The 20,045-nt window shown below is 37.7% G+C and overlaps 1 protein-coding gene across 7 annotated transcripts in view, besides 2 other annotated features; it reads right to left on the bottom strand.

Moving 5' to 3' along the window:
• HDAC9 (histone deacetylase 9) overlaps positions 1–20,045 on the bottom strand; it is a 915,592-nt gene that overhangs the window by 852,329 nt on the left and 43,218 nt on the right. The gene's annotated exons all lie outside the window — the stretch shown is intronic.
• Positions 5,615–5,815: a silencer, noted in NCBI's record as "peak6415 fragment used in MPRA reporter construct". NCBI's record gives its function as "represses an SCP1 promoter by STARR-seq MPRAs in K562 erythroleukemia cells {active_cell/tissue: K562}" and the evidence as "EXISTENCE:reporter gene assay evidence [ECO:0000049][PMID:32103011]".
• Positions 16,275–16,475: a silencer, noted in NCBI's record as "peak6414 fragment used in MPRA reporter construct". NCBI's record gives its function as "represses an SCP1 promoter by STARR-seq MPRAs in K562 erythroleukemia cells {active_cell/tissue: K562}" and the evidence as "EXISTENCE:reporter gene assay evidence [ECO:0000049][PMID:32103011]".

Here is a 20,045-nt window from a genome sequence, read left to right as displayed (position 1 = left end):
AAAAAAAAAACCCTAATAAAGTGCAAAGACAAATCACACTAGGAAAAATATGGGAATGCAAATAACCAACAAGAATTAGTAATGGGATTATGGCTGAGCACTTTAGATTACACCTGTAATCCCAGAATTTGGGGAGGCTGAGGCGGGAGTATCACTTGAGACCAGGAGTTCAAGATCAGCCTGGGCAAAAATAGCAAGACGCCATTTCCACAAATTTAAAAAAATGAAAAACTGGGCTGGGCGCAGTGGCTTATGCCTGTAATCCCAGCACTTTGGGAGGCCAAGGCGGGCAGATCACAAGGTCAGGAGATCGAGACCATCCTGGCTAACACAGTGAAACCCTGTCTCTACTAAAAATACAAAAACTAAATTAGTTGGGCGTGGTGGTGGGCACCTATAGTCCCAGCTACTTGGGAGGCTGAGGCGGGAGAATGGCGTGAACCCGGGAGGCGAAGCCTGCAGTGAGCCGAGATCAAGCCACTGCACTCCAGCCTGGGCGACAGACTGAGACTCTGTCTCAAAAAAAAATAATAATAAATAATAAATAATAAATAAATAAAAAACCTTAGCCATGCATGGTGGTACGTGCCTGTAGTCCCAGTTACTCAGGAGGCAGAGGTGGGAGGAACATTTAAGCCCAGGAGGCCAAGGCTACAGTGAGTTATGATCACACCACTGCACTCCAACCTGAGTGACACGGTGAGACCCTGACTCTAAACAAAAAAAAAAAAAGAAAAAATTATTAATTATTATAAGAATTAATATGTTGTTAAATATTATAATTAACTACTAATTATTTTTTCTTTTCTTTTTTCTTATGTATAAACGAGTAAGAAAACAAAACAAAGAACAATTTAGAAATAAGAAAAGGACAGAAGCAGGCAATAAATAAAAAAGACAATTTCAGCAGCTAATAATTATATGGAAAGATGCTCAATGAGATACCAAAACACATCCATCCAATTGGGTAACATCTTAAAGTCTTATAATCCTCACGTTGGCAAGGATATGGAACAGTTAAAATTTTCATACACTTTCAGAGACAGTATAAATGCACACACCATTTAAAATAGCAATTTAAAACTATCCTGTCAAGTGGACAATGTATGACACCCTATGATCTGTGTAGGTACAATACCCTCCCCCTGCAAAGATATTCATGACCATATCCCCAGAACCTTTGATTATATTACCTCATATGCCAAGGGGAATTAAGGTTGCAGGTAGAATTTAGGTTGCTAATAAAATGACCTAAAATCATAAGATTATCCTGGATTATTCAGAATGGCCCAACGCATTCACAAGGATTCTAAAAAGTGGAAGGGAGAGGCCAGATGTGGTGGCTCACACCTGTAATCCCAGCACTTTGGGAGGCCAATGAGGGAGGATCACCTGAGGTCAGGAGTTCGAGACCAGCCTGGCCAACATGGTGAAATCCCATCTCTACTAAAAATACAAAAAAAATTAGCTGGGCGTGGTGGCGAGCGCCTGTAATCCCAGCTACTCAGGAGGCTGAGGTGGGGGAATCGCATGAGCCCGGGAGGCGGAGGTTGCAGTTAGCCAAGATCACACCATTGCACTCCAGCCTGAGTGACAAAAGCAAGACTCCATCTCAAAAATAAATAAATAAATAAAGTAGAAGGGAGAGGCAGAATACAGTCAGGCAGAAGTGGAGATGTGCCTATGGAATAATAGTCGATGCAGCAGTGCTGGTTCTTCAGTCCTGCTGAAGATGCAGGAGAGAGACCATGATCCAAGGAATGTGAGCACTCTCTAGAAGCCAAAAAAGGAAAGCAAATGGATTCTTCCCTACAGGTTCCAGAAGAAACACAGCCCTGCGGATACCGTGAGTGTAGCCCAGTGTGAACCATGTCAGATTTCTCATCTATAGAACTCGAAGATAATACATTTCTGTTGTTTCAAGCCAGCACACTTAGGATAATTTGTTTCAGTAGCAATAGGAAACTAGTAAGTGACCCAACAATTCCACTCCTAGAGAAATTCCCCAACATCTTCTTGAGAAAAATCACAAAAATATTAACAGCAAGACAATGTAGAACAGAAATTCTGGAAACAGTCTAGATGTCCATCAACAGGAGAATGAATATGTGAAAACTGTAGCAGTTTATATATTAGAATAATACACAGCAATTAATACAACGGACCTAGAGCTATATATGTCAAAATGGATACACCTCAATACTTACAGTAAATTAATGACATAATAAAATCAAAAATGATTTATATAATATACCACATATATAAAGTTCAAGAACATATGAAATAATATCGTAATATTTATGAATAAATATTTTATATTTAAAAGAATAGATAAATGGGAATGGTAAACACCACATTCAACTCAGGATAATGGCTAACTCTGGACAGTGAGTGAAATTTTACAAAGAGCACTTCAACTATATTTTAAATGCCTTATTGCTTAAAAAAAAAATGAGTCCTGAGGTAAGACAAAACATAAACATATAATGAGTAGATGAGTATTTATTAAATTTATTATTCATATTTTTCTGAATTGCTAAAATATTTCATAATAAAAAAATAAACAACATATGCTCCAATGATGTATTTTCCATGTGTCCACCAGCGAACAAGCAAACTGATTCTTCCCAAGTTCACAGAAAATGATCTCACCCAAGAAAGTATCCCTATTAACTTGCCAATTAAAAGACAAAAATACCTAAAAGCAAACATCAATATTTAATCCAATTTTTGTAACCTTCCAAATGTACACTAAAACAAGCAGTGTATTTTTATTTTTCCTTTTATTTTAAGCAATTTCATCTTAAGTCTGCAAAGTCAAGAAGTAATTCACATTGGGAGGGTTTCTTCTGCATGTCTCCAAAGAGGCACACCCAGGTATGAAGAGGTCTATTTGCAAGCGGGTATTTACAAAATGGACCATAATAAATATACTGTCACCTTTCAGACAAAAAAAAAGGGAGATGATTCATTTAGGAAAAAGAGTTTAAATAAGCTGTAAGTTGTTAAATAGACAAAATAACATTACATATCCTTGTCAACCCTCCACCAATGAGGCTCAATAAACCTATTTGCTAAAATATGCAAATATTGAGGAAAAAAATAAATCCACTTTTTGTGGTTTCATATTTTTCCCTTGTTACTTATACTTCTATCAAACATGATGCAATTCCTATTTTTCTCTTTTTTAAGGGACAATGTCTGTCTAACGCCCCCAGGGCATTATGAGAGGATTAAAAAATGACTGTTCTGCTTCTTGGGAAAAATGTTAAAAATGAGGGGGTTTTCTGATTTGAATGCTTTTCCTCCTAAACTGGAAAACTTAAACTTGTTCTCTAGGAAGCATTAATAACTTAAAATACTGGAACCAAATTGTTTTCGCTAGAAGGAAAAAATAAATACAAGAAGAATCGAAAATAATGTGTAACTTAAATATATGACACAAATAAAAGTTAAAAGCATTGTTTCTGCAGCCCGTTGTTGCTGAACTAAAGCTTATTCAATGTCTTAAAAAACCAAGGTCTCTTTCTTTTAAGCCTGAGAAAACTAATTTTAAGTAGTTTTGGGTGGTACATAACTTAATACCTATGCTGCCAAAATGCCAACCACAACATAAAAGCATAAACATAGCAGCTCTGAAGAAAAACTTTTTCCTTTGTTGTTTTCCTGACCAAGCCAAGCCTGAGCCCAAATAAATTTATGTCTCAATCAACCACTGTGAGTATTGAAAATGAAGAGTTGCCATATCATACCTAAAATGGAAGGTAAACATATTATTCTAGATTCATTTATAGAATACTATTCAACGTACTAATGGACTATTAGATAATAGACTAAAAACTATTACCTAAGAAACAGTGATGTAAGAAATAGCTCAGCCAGACATTAAGTTATAATCAAAGCTCTTATCCCTTTAATTGATGCCGTATTTATTCAGAGCATGACAGCATTCAGCATTCTGGAATTACTTGATAGGGTCCCTCTTCTTCAATAAGACATTTCCTTTTCTTGATCTCTTTTTCTTCTGTTTCCTTTTTTTCCCAACCAATCAGCATGAAGACTCTTTTGCTGGTGAATCAACAGTCTTATATATTTGCTATGTGCCCTTTTTCCAGAGAAATATCATCTCTTGTTCCATTGACCTCTTTTGTGGGGTCTTTCTGTTCTGCCCTAAATTTGCTCCTCTCGGGATACCTCTATTTCTCCTAGGTTGAGCTTCCTCAAAGTAACACAATAGAGATCTCTGAAACTATCTAGGCTACTTTGCTCTCCTTTAGAGGAACTTCCTCACTCACCTCTGACAGATCACCGGTATCTGAATACAACCCCTATCAAAGATTCAGCACATCCATTCTATTGATGAGAAAATCATAAACATTTAAAAGATGTTCCTTATATTAAGTTAAAATATACCCCTCTGTAACTTCTATTTTTTGGTTTGCTCCAGTCAGTCTTCTGGAGTGTTCCAGAATCTCTTTGTTATAGTACTAATATATAGTCATTCAATTATTTGAATGCTATCATGTTTCTTTCCAATCTTAAATATCCTCTATTCATTCAAATAAGGTTTTAACCCTAAAACCATTAGCCCAACAAATATGCACAGCTTCCACTACCAAATGCTGTTAACTTAGTAATATGATTGACATATGTCTGGATAATATACTGGTAGGTACTACAGCACAGCCCTTACCAGCTCAGTCAACTTGAAACCATATAACTGCACCCAATGCCATTACATCACCCTGTATTTATCACTTCAAATTATCTCCATGAGATTATCTTGCTTATTCATTGCTTCTTATTGAGTGCTTGCCTACATCAGACTATACCAGACTACAAGCTCCATGAAAGCAAAGATTATGTCTGTCTAATTCACAGGAATCAGAGATCAGTGCTTGACATATGACATATAGTCCATATCAATTGTTGACTGTCCAAATAAAATCAGCCTAAAATATTGCTTCTCAGGGATGTCACCTGAATAAATCTTCAGGATCACTTACTGACCTAAAGTCTAAGTGTTGTCCATAAATTGTGGAAACACAAAGCAAGTGAAACTTAAGTCTTTGTGGCTAGGGAGTGTTCCCAGAGTCGGTGATGACAAGCTGACTTCTACAGGAGGAACAGAAAGATGTCATTCAAAATACATTTTTACAATAAACATACAGTATCACAAGGTCTTTCTACTTCATTCCTCAGACCTCAGGGAGTTTGAAACTTCAAGGTGGTTAGAAGAAAAGGTACAGGGAACAGAATGTGTGACTGTGCAAGCAAAAAAAGAGGATGATCCAGAAACTGCTAGCACAGTGACTGAGATGATGGCTGGAGAGGAGATGGAAAGAGAAAAGGCAGAGAGTGAGGCTAAGGAAGAGATGGAAAGAAGAAACTTATCAGGGCAGATCACGAAAAGGAGAGCAGAGAGGCTTTCAGAGGCTTAAACAAGAGTACAACATCATAGGGTTAACTTTTAGGGAAAAAAAAATATGGTGGTCTCAGAATGGTGCATATAGCAGAGGAGGGTATGACTAGGTACAGGAAGACTGGGCAGAAAGCTGCAGCAGAATTCCAAATAAGAGAGAAAGGGAGACTGAATTAGAATAATAGGAGTGGGGTTGAACCAGAGGGAATGGGCAGGGAAATCCACAGAGGTAGGACCCACAGGGCCAAAAGATGACAGGGTGAGTGAAAGGGGAAGTCCAAGATAACCCCGAAGGTTTCTGATTTGGTGGACCAGAAGAAGGTTCCAGTTACAGTAATCAGGAACAAAGAATGAGGAACAACAAGCAGTTCAGAAGCCTTCACTTTCCATGAACTGTGGGAAGAAAATACCTCAAAGTGTTAATGGATCCCTCTTAGAGCTGGTATTTAAGGTGACTTTATCTTGTTTATCCTTTTTTTTATTTCCAAATTTTCTAAAATAAACATGTATTATTCATAATCAGAAAATGTTTTTATTTCCAGAATTTTTCAATAACACTGCTTTTATTATTTATTTCCTTCCCACTGAAGAGTCTGAAAGTCATTAAAATCAAAACCAGGTGTGACATGTAGATAGACGTGAGGGTATGAAGATTTTATGTTTTTTGCATAAATAGATCCAGCAATAGAGAAGACTGTGACACTACCAGGTGATCCATGTCGATTTAGGCTTTTTTTCTTCTTCTAATGAGATTATCTGCCACATGGCACAGGATTTTTGTATAATGCCTACACTAAGAATACATCATGCACAGCCATACTGTGCACCAAATTAATAGGTAAAATAAAAAGAGACACTCTTTTTTTTTTTTTTGAGATGGAGTCTCGCTCTGTCACCCAGGCTAGAGTGTAATGGTGCGATCGTGGCTCACTGCAACCTCCGCCTCCTGCCTCCTGAGTTCAAGCAATTCTCCTGCCTCAACCTCCTGAGTAGCTGGGATTACAGGTGCCCGCCACCACGCCTAGCTAATTTTTGTATTTTTAGTAGATACGAGGTTTCACCATGTTAGTCAGGCTGTTCTCAAACTTCTGACCTTGTGATCTGCCTGCCTCGGCCTCCCAAGAAACACTCACTCTCTATGAATTTATTACATTGCTTTTAATTTTTACTTGATCATAGCAGCAATTCATCTTATTTACATACTTAAAAACATGACATGGTAATATAAAAACAGCTTCTGCCTCCACCCTGTCAATAAATAGAACTTCTTCTAAAACATACCATTTTCATAATCAGACTGACCAAAAGCATCATACGCATAGAGCTTTTTTAAAAATGTCTTAATGTAGTCAGTTGTGTGGTAAGAATTAACAAGTAATATAACTTAATTTCCTGATTTCTTTGAAGAATGTTCTTCCAGGTTCTGAAAAGAATTACTATCAGCAATTCCTACAAAATACAAATATGCCATTATAGAGATTTATTAATTTGACAATAGGCGTAGGTGCACAGGATAGACCAGTTTACAAAAGCAGGGGGAGATCTTTGCCCTAGTGTCACATTTAGGTGATGAAGCAGCAGGGGATGGAGTTTTGGAAGCATCTCACCCAGGTTACTATAAATCAAAAGTGATTCAAAACTAGGGATCCAAGGATGGAACTGAAGGACATCCCCTGCCCTGGAGGGACTGAATATATCTCACAACTAAGTCCAGGGTTTCTGTGGATGCAGCTGTTACAACGGAAGGTTATAAGGAAGGAGGCTCCCTCAGCATCATATAATGGTGGCTGCTATCGGTTTACGCCACACACTTGGGAGCAGGGAGAGGAGGAGGCAGAAGTTGTGAACGTGAAGCTGAATAGTCTTGACCCGCCACGTCCTCTAGGAGGATGGATGATGGAGCTGTTCATTTCAAGGGAAGTAAAAGTCTGCAGCCCTATGGGCCACCTGAAATCAAAGGCCTGGGCCCAAGGGCAAGCTGCAAAGTCATTAGAATGGCCTAAAATGAGCTGGTCCCAGGAAGGACAAAACTCTCTGACCAGTTGTCCCTCTGATTAAAGCAGAGAAACAACTAGGGAATTAACAAAACTCTAATTCCCTTGCATGGTGAGGGAGGCACAACAAAGTTCCATGTGGTGACGTTCACTTCATCCCAGTAACAACAGAACAGATGTCTCCATAAGACGTCATGGCACTGCACAAGAATCCAGTATATTTCATCTTCAAACGTGTATTTTTTTAATAGGGAGAAGAACCTCAGGGATAAGAATGAAAATTGCCACTGGGGGGACAGAAGGATGAGCAGGAGAAGTGAGGGGCTCCCTGGGGGATCACTCTCCTCTTACTGATTGTTTTGGAAACACAACGTATTTCAAGGGTTGTTTCATTGGGCCAAATTAAGTTACTTATTTGGGCCAAATTAAGACATGTCTAATCCTTTCTATATCACCTAAAATATGCTTAGGGGCATCGGAAAATGCAGGAGACCCTTGGGGTACAGGCTCTTTGTAGCCTTGCTCTATACTCTCTAGGAGACAGAAAAATAACTCATCTACACACAGAGTGGTGAAGTGCTGGAATTCTTCAAATAGAACTTGTCACTCAATTAGGATTTAGGAAAAAAGTCCTGACACAATAAAGGACTAGGGTCAATTCGATAAATTAAGAACCCAAGGTTTTATGTGGGGAAATTATGATTCAATGAACTGATAGGGTATTCTAGATCCAATCCAATATTTGCCTCCTTTATTGTAAACTCTGCTTTCCCTAAAATATTTCAAATCTATAAAGCCACAGTCTTGGTCCTGCTCTAAGACATTATTTATTGAAATAAATAAATAAATGAAATGAATAAATAATTCAACAAATTTATTGACAGCAGGGCCAAGATTGTGGCTGTTTCAACTTGGTAATACGGAAATGATACAAGTCACTAAGAATAACAGACATGTGGAAATGAAAAGAGGTTAAAAAAAAGAGCTCCAATCCCACCCGTGTCCCCGCTATTCTGAAAGCCCCACGGACATTGCATCAGAAAAATACAAATGGACTCCAAGTGCCCCAGCAGTTTAAAATTTTATTTGAAAAACTAGGCTGTCAATAGCTATACAAGTACCCTGGCATCATGAAATTTTGCTCTATTCAGAGATGTTAGTCCTCACCTAGATTTAATATTGCTCTCTGAATACCAAAGTTTTAAAGTATTTACTATGCAAAATTTCCTGCTCAAGCAGCAGCTCAGGCAGCAGAGACCTGCCTATAGGCTCTGATGGGTTTTTAGACTCTCTGCACCTTGGATCAAAGGCAGGATTTCCAGATAATTTTAAACCTCTTGCCAGGATGCTCATGAAATGTTCAAGGTTTTAAAATTTATCACCAGATAAAGGGAAAAAATGTTTTTTAAAGTAGATAATTTTTCTGCAGTCCTGAAAGTGCTTTTTAAGGAACATAATCACCTCATTCAGATGTACTGAAACTAGCAAGGGAACAATACAGTTTACTTTTGAAAGGACTCTGCAAAACACTCATTACAGAACAATAGAAGCTGTGCTTCAGCAGGGCCCTCAGTTCAATTTTAAAGTCTAGTGTGGCTTGCTTGCTAATCAGGGCACACAACTTCTCAAAAGCTGAAGATGCTTGTTTTCATAGAGGCCAGTTTATCCTAAATAAAAATGCTGCTCATTGAGAATTTTAGCTTTATGAAGGCATGGGAAGTCAAATTCTATTGTAGACACTCTCTTTAAAAAAAAAAAAAAAACTTTAAAGTTTGGCTCCCCATTTAAAATATGAGTGACCTCCAAATTAAATGCTGTGTCAAAGAAATTGCTTTGTTTTTAAGGTGATATTTTATTACTAAAGAACTTCAAATAAAAAACAGAATATATATATATATTCAGTGTATATATGTATTCTATATATGTGTATGTTCAGTGACATAGGCATGTAAGTTAAAATCCTTGATAATGAAAGGAAAAGGTTAATTTCATTCTTTCAAATACTGCATACCAACCAATAACTTATTTTAAAAATCTGTTATCATAATTAGATGGATATAGTAACTGCACAGCTAAAAAGAAAATATTCACTAATCAATAGCCTAAGCATAATGTATAACAATTTTTCCTACATAATACAAAGTATTGACAGTTTCCTAATTTTGCTTATTTGAAGTAAAATAATAAGAGATGGGATAAAATCTGGATCTAGTCTAAGAGTGACTTTTTTAAAGTTCGGTGGAAGACAGTATTTTTTTTCTTGTTTTTGTGGGCTCAAAGAGAAAACCCTGTACAATAACTTTTATGCAGATGTTTCCATCTTTAAAAAATACAACAATATCCACAATTTCTTCTTTTGCCAGTTCTGTCTCCCATGGGATGGAGGCCATATCCCTGTTGCCAAGAATTCCCCAAGCAGTAGATTAATATGCTGTCACTGTTTTCCTATCAGAAGGTCCTTTCCCAGGTAGAAGGGTCCCGGGATGTTTGCAGATTTCATTTTGGGAAGATATGAATTTTATTTGAGTAATGAGTACCCTGGCTTTGGGGGAAAACACCTACATCTAGCCATGGCTTTCATCATGGACTGAGGTTGCTTATGGGCTTACACTTCTCCACAGTGTTGTATTCATTTCTTGTGGCTGCCATAACAAATGACCACAACCGTTGTGCCACAGAACAACAGAATGTATGCTCTCACAGTTCTGGAGGACAGAAGTCCCACATCAGTTTTCCTGGGCCAAAATCAAGGTGTTGGCGGGGCTGTTCTCCCCCAGAGGCTCTAGGAGATAATTCATTCCTTGAAGACTCTAACTTCCGGAGGCTGCCCAGTCTTTGCTTTCATGATCGCATTGCCTTCTTCCCTTCTGTACGTATTAAATACCCCTCTGTCTCCCTCTTTATAAGATACATGTGACTGCATTTAGGGCCCACCTGGACAATACAGAATAATCAGAGTAATCTCCCTGCCTTAACCATATTTGCAAAATCCTTTTTGGCCATATGAGGTAACATTCACAGATGCCAAGGATTAGAAGGTGGATATTTTATGGGGTGCCATTATTCAGCCTACTAGAGGTGTCTCATACAGTCCAACATATTACAAAACAGTTTGTAAAACTTGCCACTTTACTTTTCCCTGACACGGAAAAAAGGAATAGCAAACGTAGTGTGTATAGATTATAAGTAAAGCATCATAATTACTTGGTGCCACAGGATAAAATAAAGTGTCATAAGAAGTCCAGGGCCAGGCACAGTGGCTCACACCTGTAGTCCCAACACTTTGGGAGGCCAAGACAGGAGGACTGCTTGAGCTCAGGAGTTCCAGACCAGCCTGGGCAACATGACAAAACCCCATCTCTACAAAAAATAACAAAAATTAGCCAGTCGTGGTGACACATGCCTGCAGTACCAGCTACTTGAAAGGCTGAGGCAGGAGGATAGCTTGAGCCCAGGAGGTCAAGGCTGCAGTGAGCCAAGATTGTGCCACTGCACTGCAGCCTGGGCAACAGAGCAAGAGCCTGTCTCAAAAAAAAAAAAAAAAAAAAAAGTCCAGATTATAATTATATGATGGTGATACCCAATAAAATTAAATATTTAATATTCTTAAGCATACTTTCCACTGTCTAGAATGAATCATTTAAAAGAAAATTTTAACACATCTGATTACCTGACTACCAAGTTTAGAAATGGAAGATTACTAGAACTGCTAGTAAGCATAAACATAATCATAGCATTTATTTGTTGAGATTACCATGTCTCATGCTAGAATCATTATTCTAGAGTGCCAGGAAGGTATAATAAAGAGAATCCAGTACTCTGAATTGAGAGACTTGGCTTTGCATTCCATCCTTGCCCCTGATTAATTGAATGACTTCAGGAGAGCATTTTTTCTCAATTTCTTACACTGTGATGTGAGCGATGTCCCTGGGCATTTCCCTGCCAACCTAGATTCTTAATGAAATAGACTTGAGCCCCTAATTTTTTGGCTGGTGCATGTCCAAAGGAGTTCCTAGAAAGGTTGCAGCCTGCCCCACTCTGCTTCTTGGGCTCTCTCCAGCACTGTATCCACTTGAGCCAAAACCCAAATAACTAAATGAGCATGTGCACACACACACACACACACACACACACACACACACACCTCTCTCTCTCTCTCACTACAGCTTCCCACCATCTTGCTATTTGGCTCCATTTCTTTCTCTCCCTCTCATCTCTATTCCACACTCCCTCCATCTCCTAAAACCAGGAGTTCTAAACCCTTCTTACACCATTTGCAATCTAGATCTCATTCTGATGTCTTGGCACCAGCAGAAGATGTCCTTGCAAGGAGAGAGGGAGAGGGAGGCACACAGGTATTAATAGATCAGGGCTCATGGTCTCCTTAGAACCCTTACAAAGAATGAATCCAGGAGCTGGTTTTTTGAAAGGATCAACAAAATTGATAGACCACTAGCAAGACTAATAAAGAAAAAAAGAGAGAAGAATCAAATAGATGCAATAAAAAATGATAAAGGGGATATCATCACCGATCCCACAGAAATACAAACTACCATCACAGAATACTACAAACACCTCTATGCAAATAAACTAGAAAATCTAGTACTAATGCATAACTTCCTCAACACATACACTCTCCCAAGACTAAACCAGGAAGAAGTTGAATCTCTGAATAGACCAATAACAGGATCTGAAATTGTGGCAATAATCAATAGCTTACCAACCAAAAAGAGTCCAGGACCAGATGGATTCACAGCCAAATTCTACCAGAGGTACAAGGAGGAACTGGTACCATTCCTTCTGAAACTATTCCGATCAATAGAAAAAGAGGGAATCCTTCCTAACTCATTTTATGAGGCCAGCATCATTCTGATTCCAAAGCCGGGCAGAGACACAACCAAAAAAGAGAATTTTAGACCAATATCCTTGATGAACATTGATGCAAAAATTCTCAATAAAATACTGGCAAAACGAATCCAGCAGCACATCAAAAAGCTTATCCACCATGATCAAGTGGGCTTCATCCCTGGGATGCAAGGCTGGTTCAATATACGCAAATCAATAAATGTAATCCAGCATATAAACAGAGCCAAAGACAAAAACCACATGATTATCTCAATAGATGCAGAAAAGGCCTTTGACAAAATTCAACAACCCTTCATGCTAAAATCTCTCAATAAATTAGGTAATGATGGGATGTATTTCAAAATAATAAGAGCTATCTATGACAAACCCACAGCCAATAACATACTGAATGGGCAAAAACTGGAAGCATTCCCTTTGAAAACTGGCATAAGACAGGGATGCCCTCTCTCACCACTCCTATTCAACATACTGTTGGAAGTTCTGGCCAGGGCAATTAGGCAGGAGAAGGAAATAAAGGGTATTCAATTAGGAAAAGAGGAAGTCAAATTGTCCCTGTTTGCAGATGACATGATTGTATATCTAGAAAACCCCATTGTCTCAGCCCAAAATCTCCTTAAGCTGATAAGCAACTTCAGCAAAGTCTCAGGATACAAAATCAATGTACAAAAATCACAAGCATTCCTATACACCAATAACAGACAAACAGAGAGCCAAATCATGAGTGAACTCCCATTCACAATTGCTTCAAAGAGAATAAAATACCTAGGAATCCAACTTACAAGGGATGTGAAGGACCTCTTCAAGGAGAACTACAAACCACTGCTCAAGGAAATAAAAGAGGATACAAACAAATGGAAGAACATTCCATGCTCATGGATAGGAAGAATCAATATCGTGAAAATGGCCATACTGCCCAAGGTAATTTACAGATTCAATGCCATCCCCATCCAGCTACCAATGCCTTTCTTCACAGAATTGGAAAAAACTACTTTAAAGTTCATATGGAACCAAAAAAGAGCCCGCATCGCCAAGTCAATCCTAAGCCAAAAGAACAAAGCTGGAGGCATCACGCTACCTGACTTCAAACTATACTACAAGGCTACAGTAACCAAAACAGCATGGTACTGGTACCAAAACAGAGATATAGATCAATGGAACACAACAGAGCCCTCAGAAATAACACCGCATATCTACAGCTATCTGATCTTTGACAAACCTGAGAAAAACAAGCAATGGGGAAAGGATTCCCTATTTAATAAATGGTGTTGGGAAAATTGGCTAGCCATATGTAGAAAGCTGAAACTGGATCCCTTCCTTCCACCTTATACAAAAATCAATTCAAGATGGATTAAAGACTTAAACGTTAGACCTAAAACCATAAAAACCCTAGAAGAAAACCTAGGCATTACCATTCAGGACACAGGCATGGGCAAGGACTTCATGTCTAAAACACCAAAAGCAATGGCAACAAAGGACAAAATTGACAAATGGGATCTAATTAAACTCAAGAGCTTCTGCACAGCAGAAGAAACTACCATCAGAGTGAACAGGCAACCTACAAAATGGGAGAAAATTTTCGCAACCTACTCATCTGACAAAGGGCTAATATCCAGAATCTACAATGAACTCAAACAAATTTACAAGAAAAAAACAAACAACCCCATCAAAAAGTGGGTGAAGGACATGAACAGACACTTCTCAAAAGAAGACATTTATACAGCCAAAAAACACATGAAAAAATGCTCATCATCACTGGCCATCAGAGAAATGCAAATCAAAACCACAATGAGATACCATCTCACACCAGTTAGAATGGCAATCATTAAAAAGTCAGGAAACAACAGGTGCTGGAGAGGATGTGGAGAAATAGGAACACTTTTACACTGTTGGTGGGACTGTAAACTAGTTCAACCATTGTCGAAGTCAGTGTGGTGATTCCTCAGGGATCTAGAACTGGAAATACCATTTGACCCAGCCATCCCATTACTGGGTATATACCCAAAGGACTATAAGTCATGCTGCTATAAAGACACATGCACACGTATGTTTATTGTGGCATTATTCACAATAGCAAAGACTTGGAACCAACCCAAATGTCCAACAATGATAGACTGGATTAAGAAACTGTGGCACATATACACCATGGAATACTATGCAGCCATAAAAAATGATGAGTTCATGTCCTTTGTAGGGACATGGATGAAATTGGAAATCATCATTCTCAGTAAACTATCGCAAGAACAAAAAACCAAACACCGCATATTCTCACTCATAGGTGGGAATTGAACAATGAGATCACATGGACACAGGAAGGGGAATATCACACTCTGGGGACAGTTGTGGGGTGGGGGGAGGGGGGAGGGATAGCATTGGGAGATATACCTAATGCTAGATGACGAGTTAGTGGGTGCAGCGCACCAGCATGGCACATGTATACATATGTAACTAACCTGCACAATGTGCACATGTATCCTAAAACTTAAAGTATAATAAAAAAAAGAAAAAAAAAAGAATATGGTAAATACTACCTTTTTAAAAAAAAAAAAAAAAGAAAGAAATTTTTGCAAACAAACACAATTATCTTCCTAAGAGGATTTTGTATTTTTGTCAAAATAGTAAGACATTTCCTACTTCATTACATTTTAAATGGGGTGAACAGTATCCACTTGAAAAAGGTAGTGAGAACTTAAGGAGAAAATAGATGTAAAATAATTTATCACAGTCTGTCACATATGATGAACTCATTATATCACTACCATTACTACTATTACTATCATGCTTCCAGGATTTAAATTAGATCTGTTTAGATACAAACCATATATAAGAAAATCTATAGTGAATATTCGTAAACTGACTATAAAAATCATTGAAGTCAGAATCATAGTTTGATTCAATGCTATATTCTAAAGGATTGTCATGCATAAAAACAAATGGCAATGAATTCCACTTTGAAAACAATTTTGCATAGCTTTATTTTTAGTTCCTCAAAACTGGCCTGATTTTCTTTTTCCTGGATGAAAAGAATTCCCTCTGAAATCCCTAATGTAGCAAATAAAGAGAGAAGAATATTTCTGGTATCAGTCAAATATTATTTGGGTGAGGGTAAGAACGGGCATGGAGATGAGGGTGAGAACTAGAAACAGAAAGCTGATTTAGAATCACACCTAGTGCTTAAGAATGAGTAATAATGTTGTTCACTATGTTGATAACTTACAACTGATCTGCTTTTTTCCTTTTATGCAGTCCTTGTAACTAATTTCTGCCTTTAAAAATTCATATGAAGTTACTACTGCTTCAAACAGAGTCATGCGTGAGAATTTCTAAACTATGTATATTCAATCCATGAATTTTGATAATGACAGTACAGTTAATGGTGGAAATTAAGCACTAGCTCCATTGGTCTTGATCTATCAGAGTTATAGAGGAATTTATATGGTCATCCAATGGCTCATTTCTTTCCCTAGCAGTCCTTGAATAATAACTAATATATGCCATGACATTAATAAAAAATAATATGCTATCCAGCAGAATTAGGAATAAAGCAGGTATATACTTGGCATTACTCAGCCACAAGATAATTTAGTCTCTGAAATACCAAGGCTCTTGCTAAGGGGAGTTGAACTTTAAAGCAGTCCCACAGTATGAACGCTGAGAACACTATGGTGCCAAGGAGCCAACACATTTACAGGAAACTTCTACAAGGTTATTCACACAATGGTTGTAATGGACCAATTCCAGGAGGGTGAACATTATAATCAAAGCTGAGTTTTACTGTGTTGACCTTGCCTAAGAAGTGGTGCTCAGACACATTAAAAAAAAAAAAAATAGATGGATGAAAGGCTAGAGATGTGTGTGTGTGTGTGTGTGTGTGTGCACGCGTGTATATTCACACACAGATATATAGATATAGATATTTTTAAAGAATAACTGCAAGCAAGCAAATAAGAAAGTAAAATGTAACGCCATGGAAATGTTGCATGCTTCCCATAGCAACTTCCAATAGTCAAATGGTGTTTCTCTGAGTAAGCGACACGAAAGCATTTACAGAAACATGTTGCTTTCCCATTTTTCTACAATAATCACTTTTTCCATTTTATGCTTTTGGTTATCTGTCTCAAGTGCCATTTTAAATGCAAAACAACCAACAAAACTCGAGCCCATTAAGTCATTTAAAAAGGTGTTCACGTACACAGTTTGCTAAGTGAAAACGTTCATATCTGCTGAATAACATGTGCATCCTATAATTGCAAAATTGAGCCCAGGGATAATAACCAGGAAAAACAGACATCACACACTGCTAAAAATAAGCTGATGCCAAAGCTACCAGACTTAGCTCCTAAGTCTCCCTAAAATGACAAGAAGTCATGCTGTTTTTAGTTTCAAGTCATGGATATTTGACAAGTCTTCTCACATGTCATCTAGAATATCACCACTGCTTAACTAAATGCTCAGTGGATTTTTTTTTCTTAAGAGGGTGATAAGAGGAATGAACAGTTCTAAATATATTATGAGATTCTGATATGTCCAAAGACTATAATTATTTTTTGTGATTAATCCTGTATTTTACTGATATGCCATGGGCAATTTTTGTGGAATTTGTTCTATTTTGAGCCAGAGTTCATATTTCTGTGTTTTTGTGTTTTTCCAATGTATTTTCCAATGCAATTTGTGACAGAAGCTAAGGATGGTGAGCTGAGGGTGGGAAGAAGTCTGAATCAAGATTTGCTTTCCTTGACAAACAGACCACTGCTATCAGCTGTTTCCATGGTGAGCAGTTTCAGCTACATTAAAGACCAGAGGACTCAGTTAGGACAGGGCCCAAAGTTCACAGCCAGTTGATTTAATTCTGAGAGTTATTTTGAAAGACTGTTAACCTTAGGGTGCTATACAAAAGTAAAATCAAATAAAAAATAAGTCACTTTATTTAGGGAAGGGGGAGCAGGGCACATTGGGATTCTGATATAAAGAAACAATATCATTTGAAAAGGTCTTGCACCAATCACCTTACTAAAAACCAATCTAGGCCCAACTCTTTATTTTACTGACAATAAAACTAAGGCCTCACAGGTCCAAAGAACTCAGCCAAGGTCTTTTAATGAATACAGGCCATTTTCTGAATAAACTTAGTTGAAGGAACATGCTGTCTTTTTTGAAAATTATTAATTTCTTCCACATAATGCAGAAAGGAATGTTTTTGGATCCCACAAAAAGGAGGCTAAAAACTTCAATCAAAGCCAGGTGTGGTAGTATGTGCCTGCGGTTTCAGCTACTCAGGAGGCTGAGGCAGGAAGATCATTTGAGCCCAGAAGTTGGAGGCTGCAATAAGCTGTGATCACCCGCTGCACTTTAACCTGGGCACCAGAGTGAGACAAAGGCCCTGTCTCTTAAAAACAAACAAACAAAAACAAAAAGAAAAAAAGACTTCAATCACAACTTTTGAATATATTCAGATATGACAAAATATTTTACCTATTATTCTTCATATTATTACAATCTTATGAGAGTTTCTAAACACCTTGAATGTAGTTCCATTTGACTTCTGTAGTTAGTAATTTGGAGATCATCATGGATTTTGGAAGCTACTCATTGTCTGAAGAAAAGAGAAATAACATCACTGGGACACACTGGCACAATGAAGGGAAGAAAAAGCCCTTAATTGCTGTGACTTGGGAGCAAAGGGAGGGAAGTAAATGAACACGCAATAGAGAATTTCAAAAAGAGGCGTGTGAAGGTGTTAGAGAATGGAACACATTCAACTCTTATATCTCTAAGTCTGTAATTACCACCTGGCCCACAGAACAAGCAGTGATTCTCCATAATCTATCTGTTGCCATTAGCTAAAATAGCTCTTAAATACTTGACGCCAGCCTCTTCTTTGCCTAAAACATATTGGGGAAGAAGGTGTCTTAAATTTTGACTCCCAATTATCTATAATTCCAACCATAATTCTTAAATTTTGTATTGCTCAGAGTGCAAAGACCAAAGATGTGTGAACATGACTGCCTGACTAGATCTGCTCTCCATGAGGGAGTGTGCGTCTAAAACCCTTTGCTAGCACTGAGGCTCTCACCGCCTCACCTTCACCCTCCTCTCTTGTTCGTAACATCAGAGTTTCTGTCCTTTGCTTAACAGAAAGGGAGTAGTGACAATGACCAAAGCTTTGGCTTAGGAAACACACTGACTCTTCCTTTTCTGCCTTCAAAAAATGCCCTCTACAATTTATTTCAGAAGATAGTTTAATAGTATGTATACACTCTACCCCCTACTGCATCCCACAAGTTGTCTAGCCAAAAACAAATGAAGATTATTAATACTTCTTAATTCCTTTTCTTTGGTAGTAAAGCAGCAACCCCCTAATTTCCCAAGAAACCAAGGAATTCTGATTAGTGCTACTAAACTCGTTCTTTAACCATAACATTTTGATTTTCAGCAGACTGCAGATATCTACCCAACAACCAAATTTTGCTATTAGTTATCAATCAATCAATATTTTTTAAGTTCATACTAACAAATATTGGGCACTGAATCATCAATGTTCTATTTTTAAAGCAGAGAGCTCACCTTTTGAGAAATCACTGGAAGAGATTTGGGTACGTATGTGTTCTTTACACATACCATCTAAAATGTCAAAATGTATGCTGACGAAGTTCTCCTTTTATTTAGAGGTGGATGGAAGCTTTGTGCAATTTGTCTATTATAGTACAAAATCTCATTTGGATTCCTAATTCTTTTAGGTGAAAGAGCACAAATTTGAGCAACAGAAAAATAACCAACTGGTGATTTGTAAAGATTTCTAAACACTCGATTATAAGAAACTAGAAAGACAACTTTTCATTAATATAAATTTTATGACTTCATTTAGCAATATGGAAACTCTTCGAAGTTTGGACATTGCTAATGGTGTAGGGAAACAAAAAGAGAAATAACTTCACTGGAACAAGGTAGCACACTGAAGGCAAAAAAAAGTCCATAACTGCGGTAACTTGGGAGCAAAGATGAAAAGCAGATGAACATGCAATAGAAAATTGTTAAAAGAGGCATGACACAAAAGATCACAAATTATATAATTCCATGTATATGAAATATCCAAAATAGATAAATGGGGAAAAAGTACATTAGTGGTTTCCTAGGGCATCGGGAATGGAGGGATTTAGGGGTGACAGCTAAAGAGAATAGCGATGAAGTTGTTCTAAAATTGATTGTAGTGATGGGTGCACAACTCTGTGAATATACTAACGACCACTAAATTGTATGCTTTAAATGGTTGAACTGTATGATATGTAAATTATATCTCAATAAAGCTGTTACCAAGAAAGGAGGCATATGAGGATGTTGAAAAATGAAACACCAAAAAAAGCAACTACAACGGAGTAATTTAGTAAGGGAATAAAACATTTGGGGAATTGGGCACTATGAACAGCATCACCGTCCCTCATGCCACTATTCCTCATGCTTACCTTTCAATTCTTTGAGTCCTCATGGCTCTTTCCTACCTCAGGGCCTTTATACAGGTTGAGCATTATATAGGTTGAGCATTGATCTGAAAATCTGAAATCCAAAATGCTCCAAAATCTGAAACGTTTTGAGCACCGACATGATGCTCAAAGGAGATGCTCGTTGGAGCATTCTGGGTTGTGGATTCTGGATTTCAAATTAGGGCTGCTCAACTGGTATATATTCTGAAAATATTCAAAGGATTTTGGTTCCAAGAATTTTGGATAAGGGATACTCCATCTGTATGTACCATGTAACATGTCTGATCC

This window comes from Homo sapiens, chromosome 7, assembly GCF_000001405.40.
Source record: "Homo sapiens chromosome 7, GRCh38.p14 Primary Assembly".
NCBI classification, from domain to species: Eukaryota; Metazoa; Chordata; class Mammalia; order Primates; family Hominidae; genus Homo; species Homo sapiens.
The sequence above is the reverse complement of the archived record's forward strand: the minus strand, read 5'-3'. Positions and strand labels throughout refer to the sequence as shown.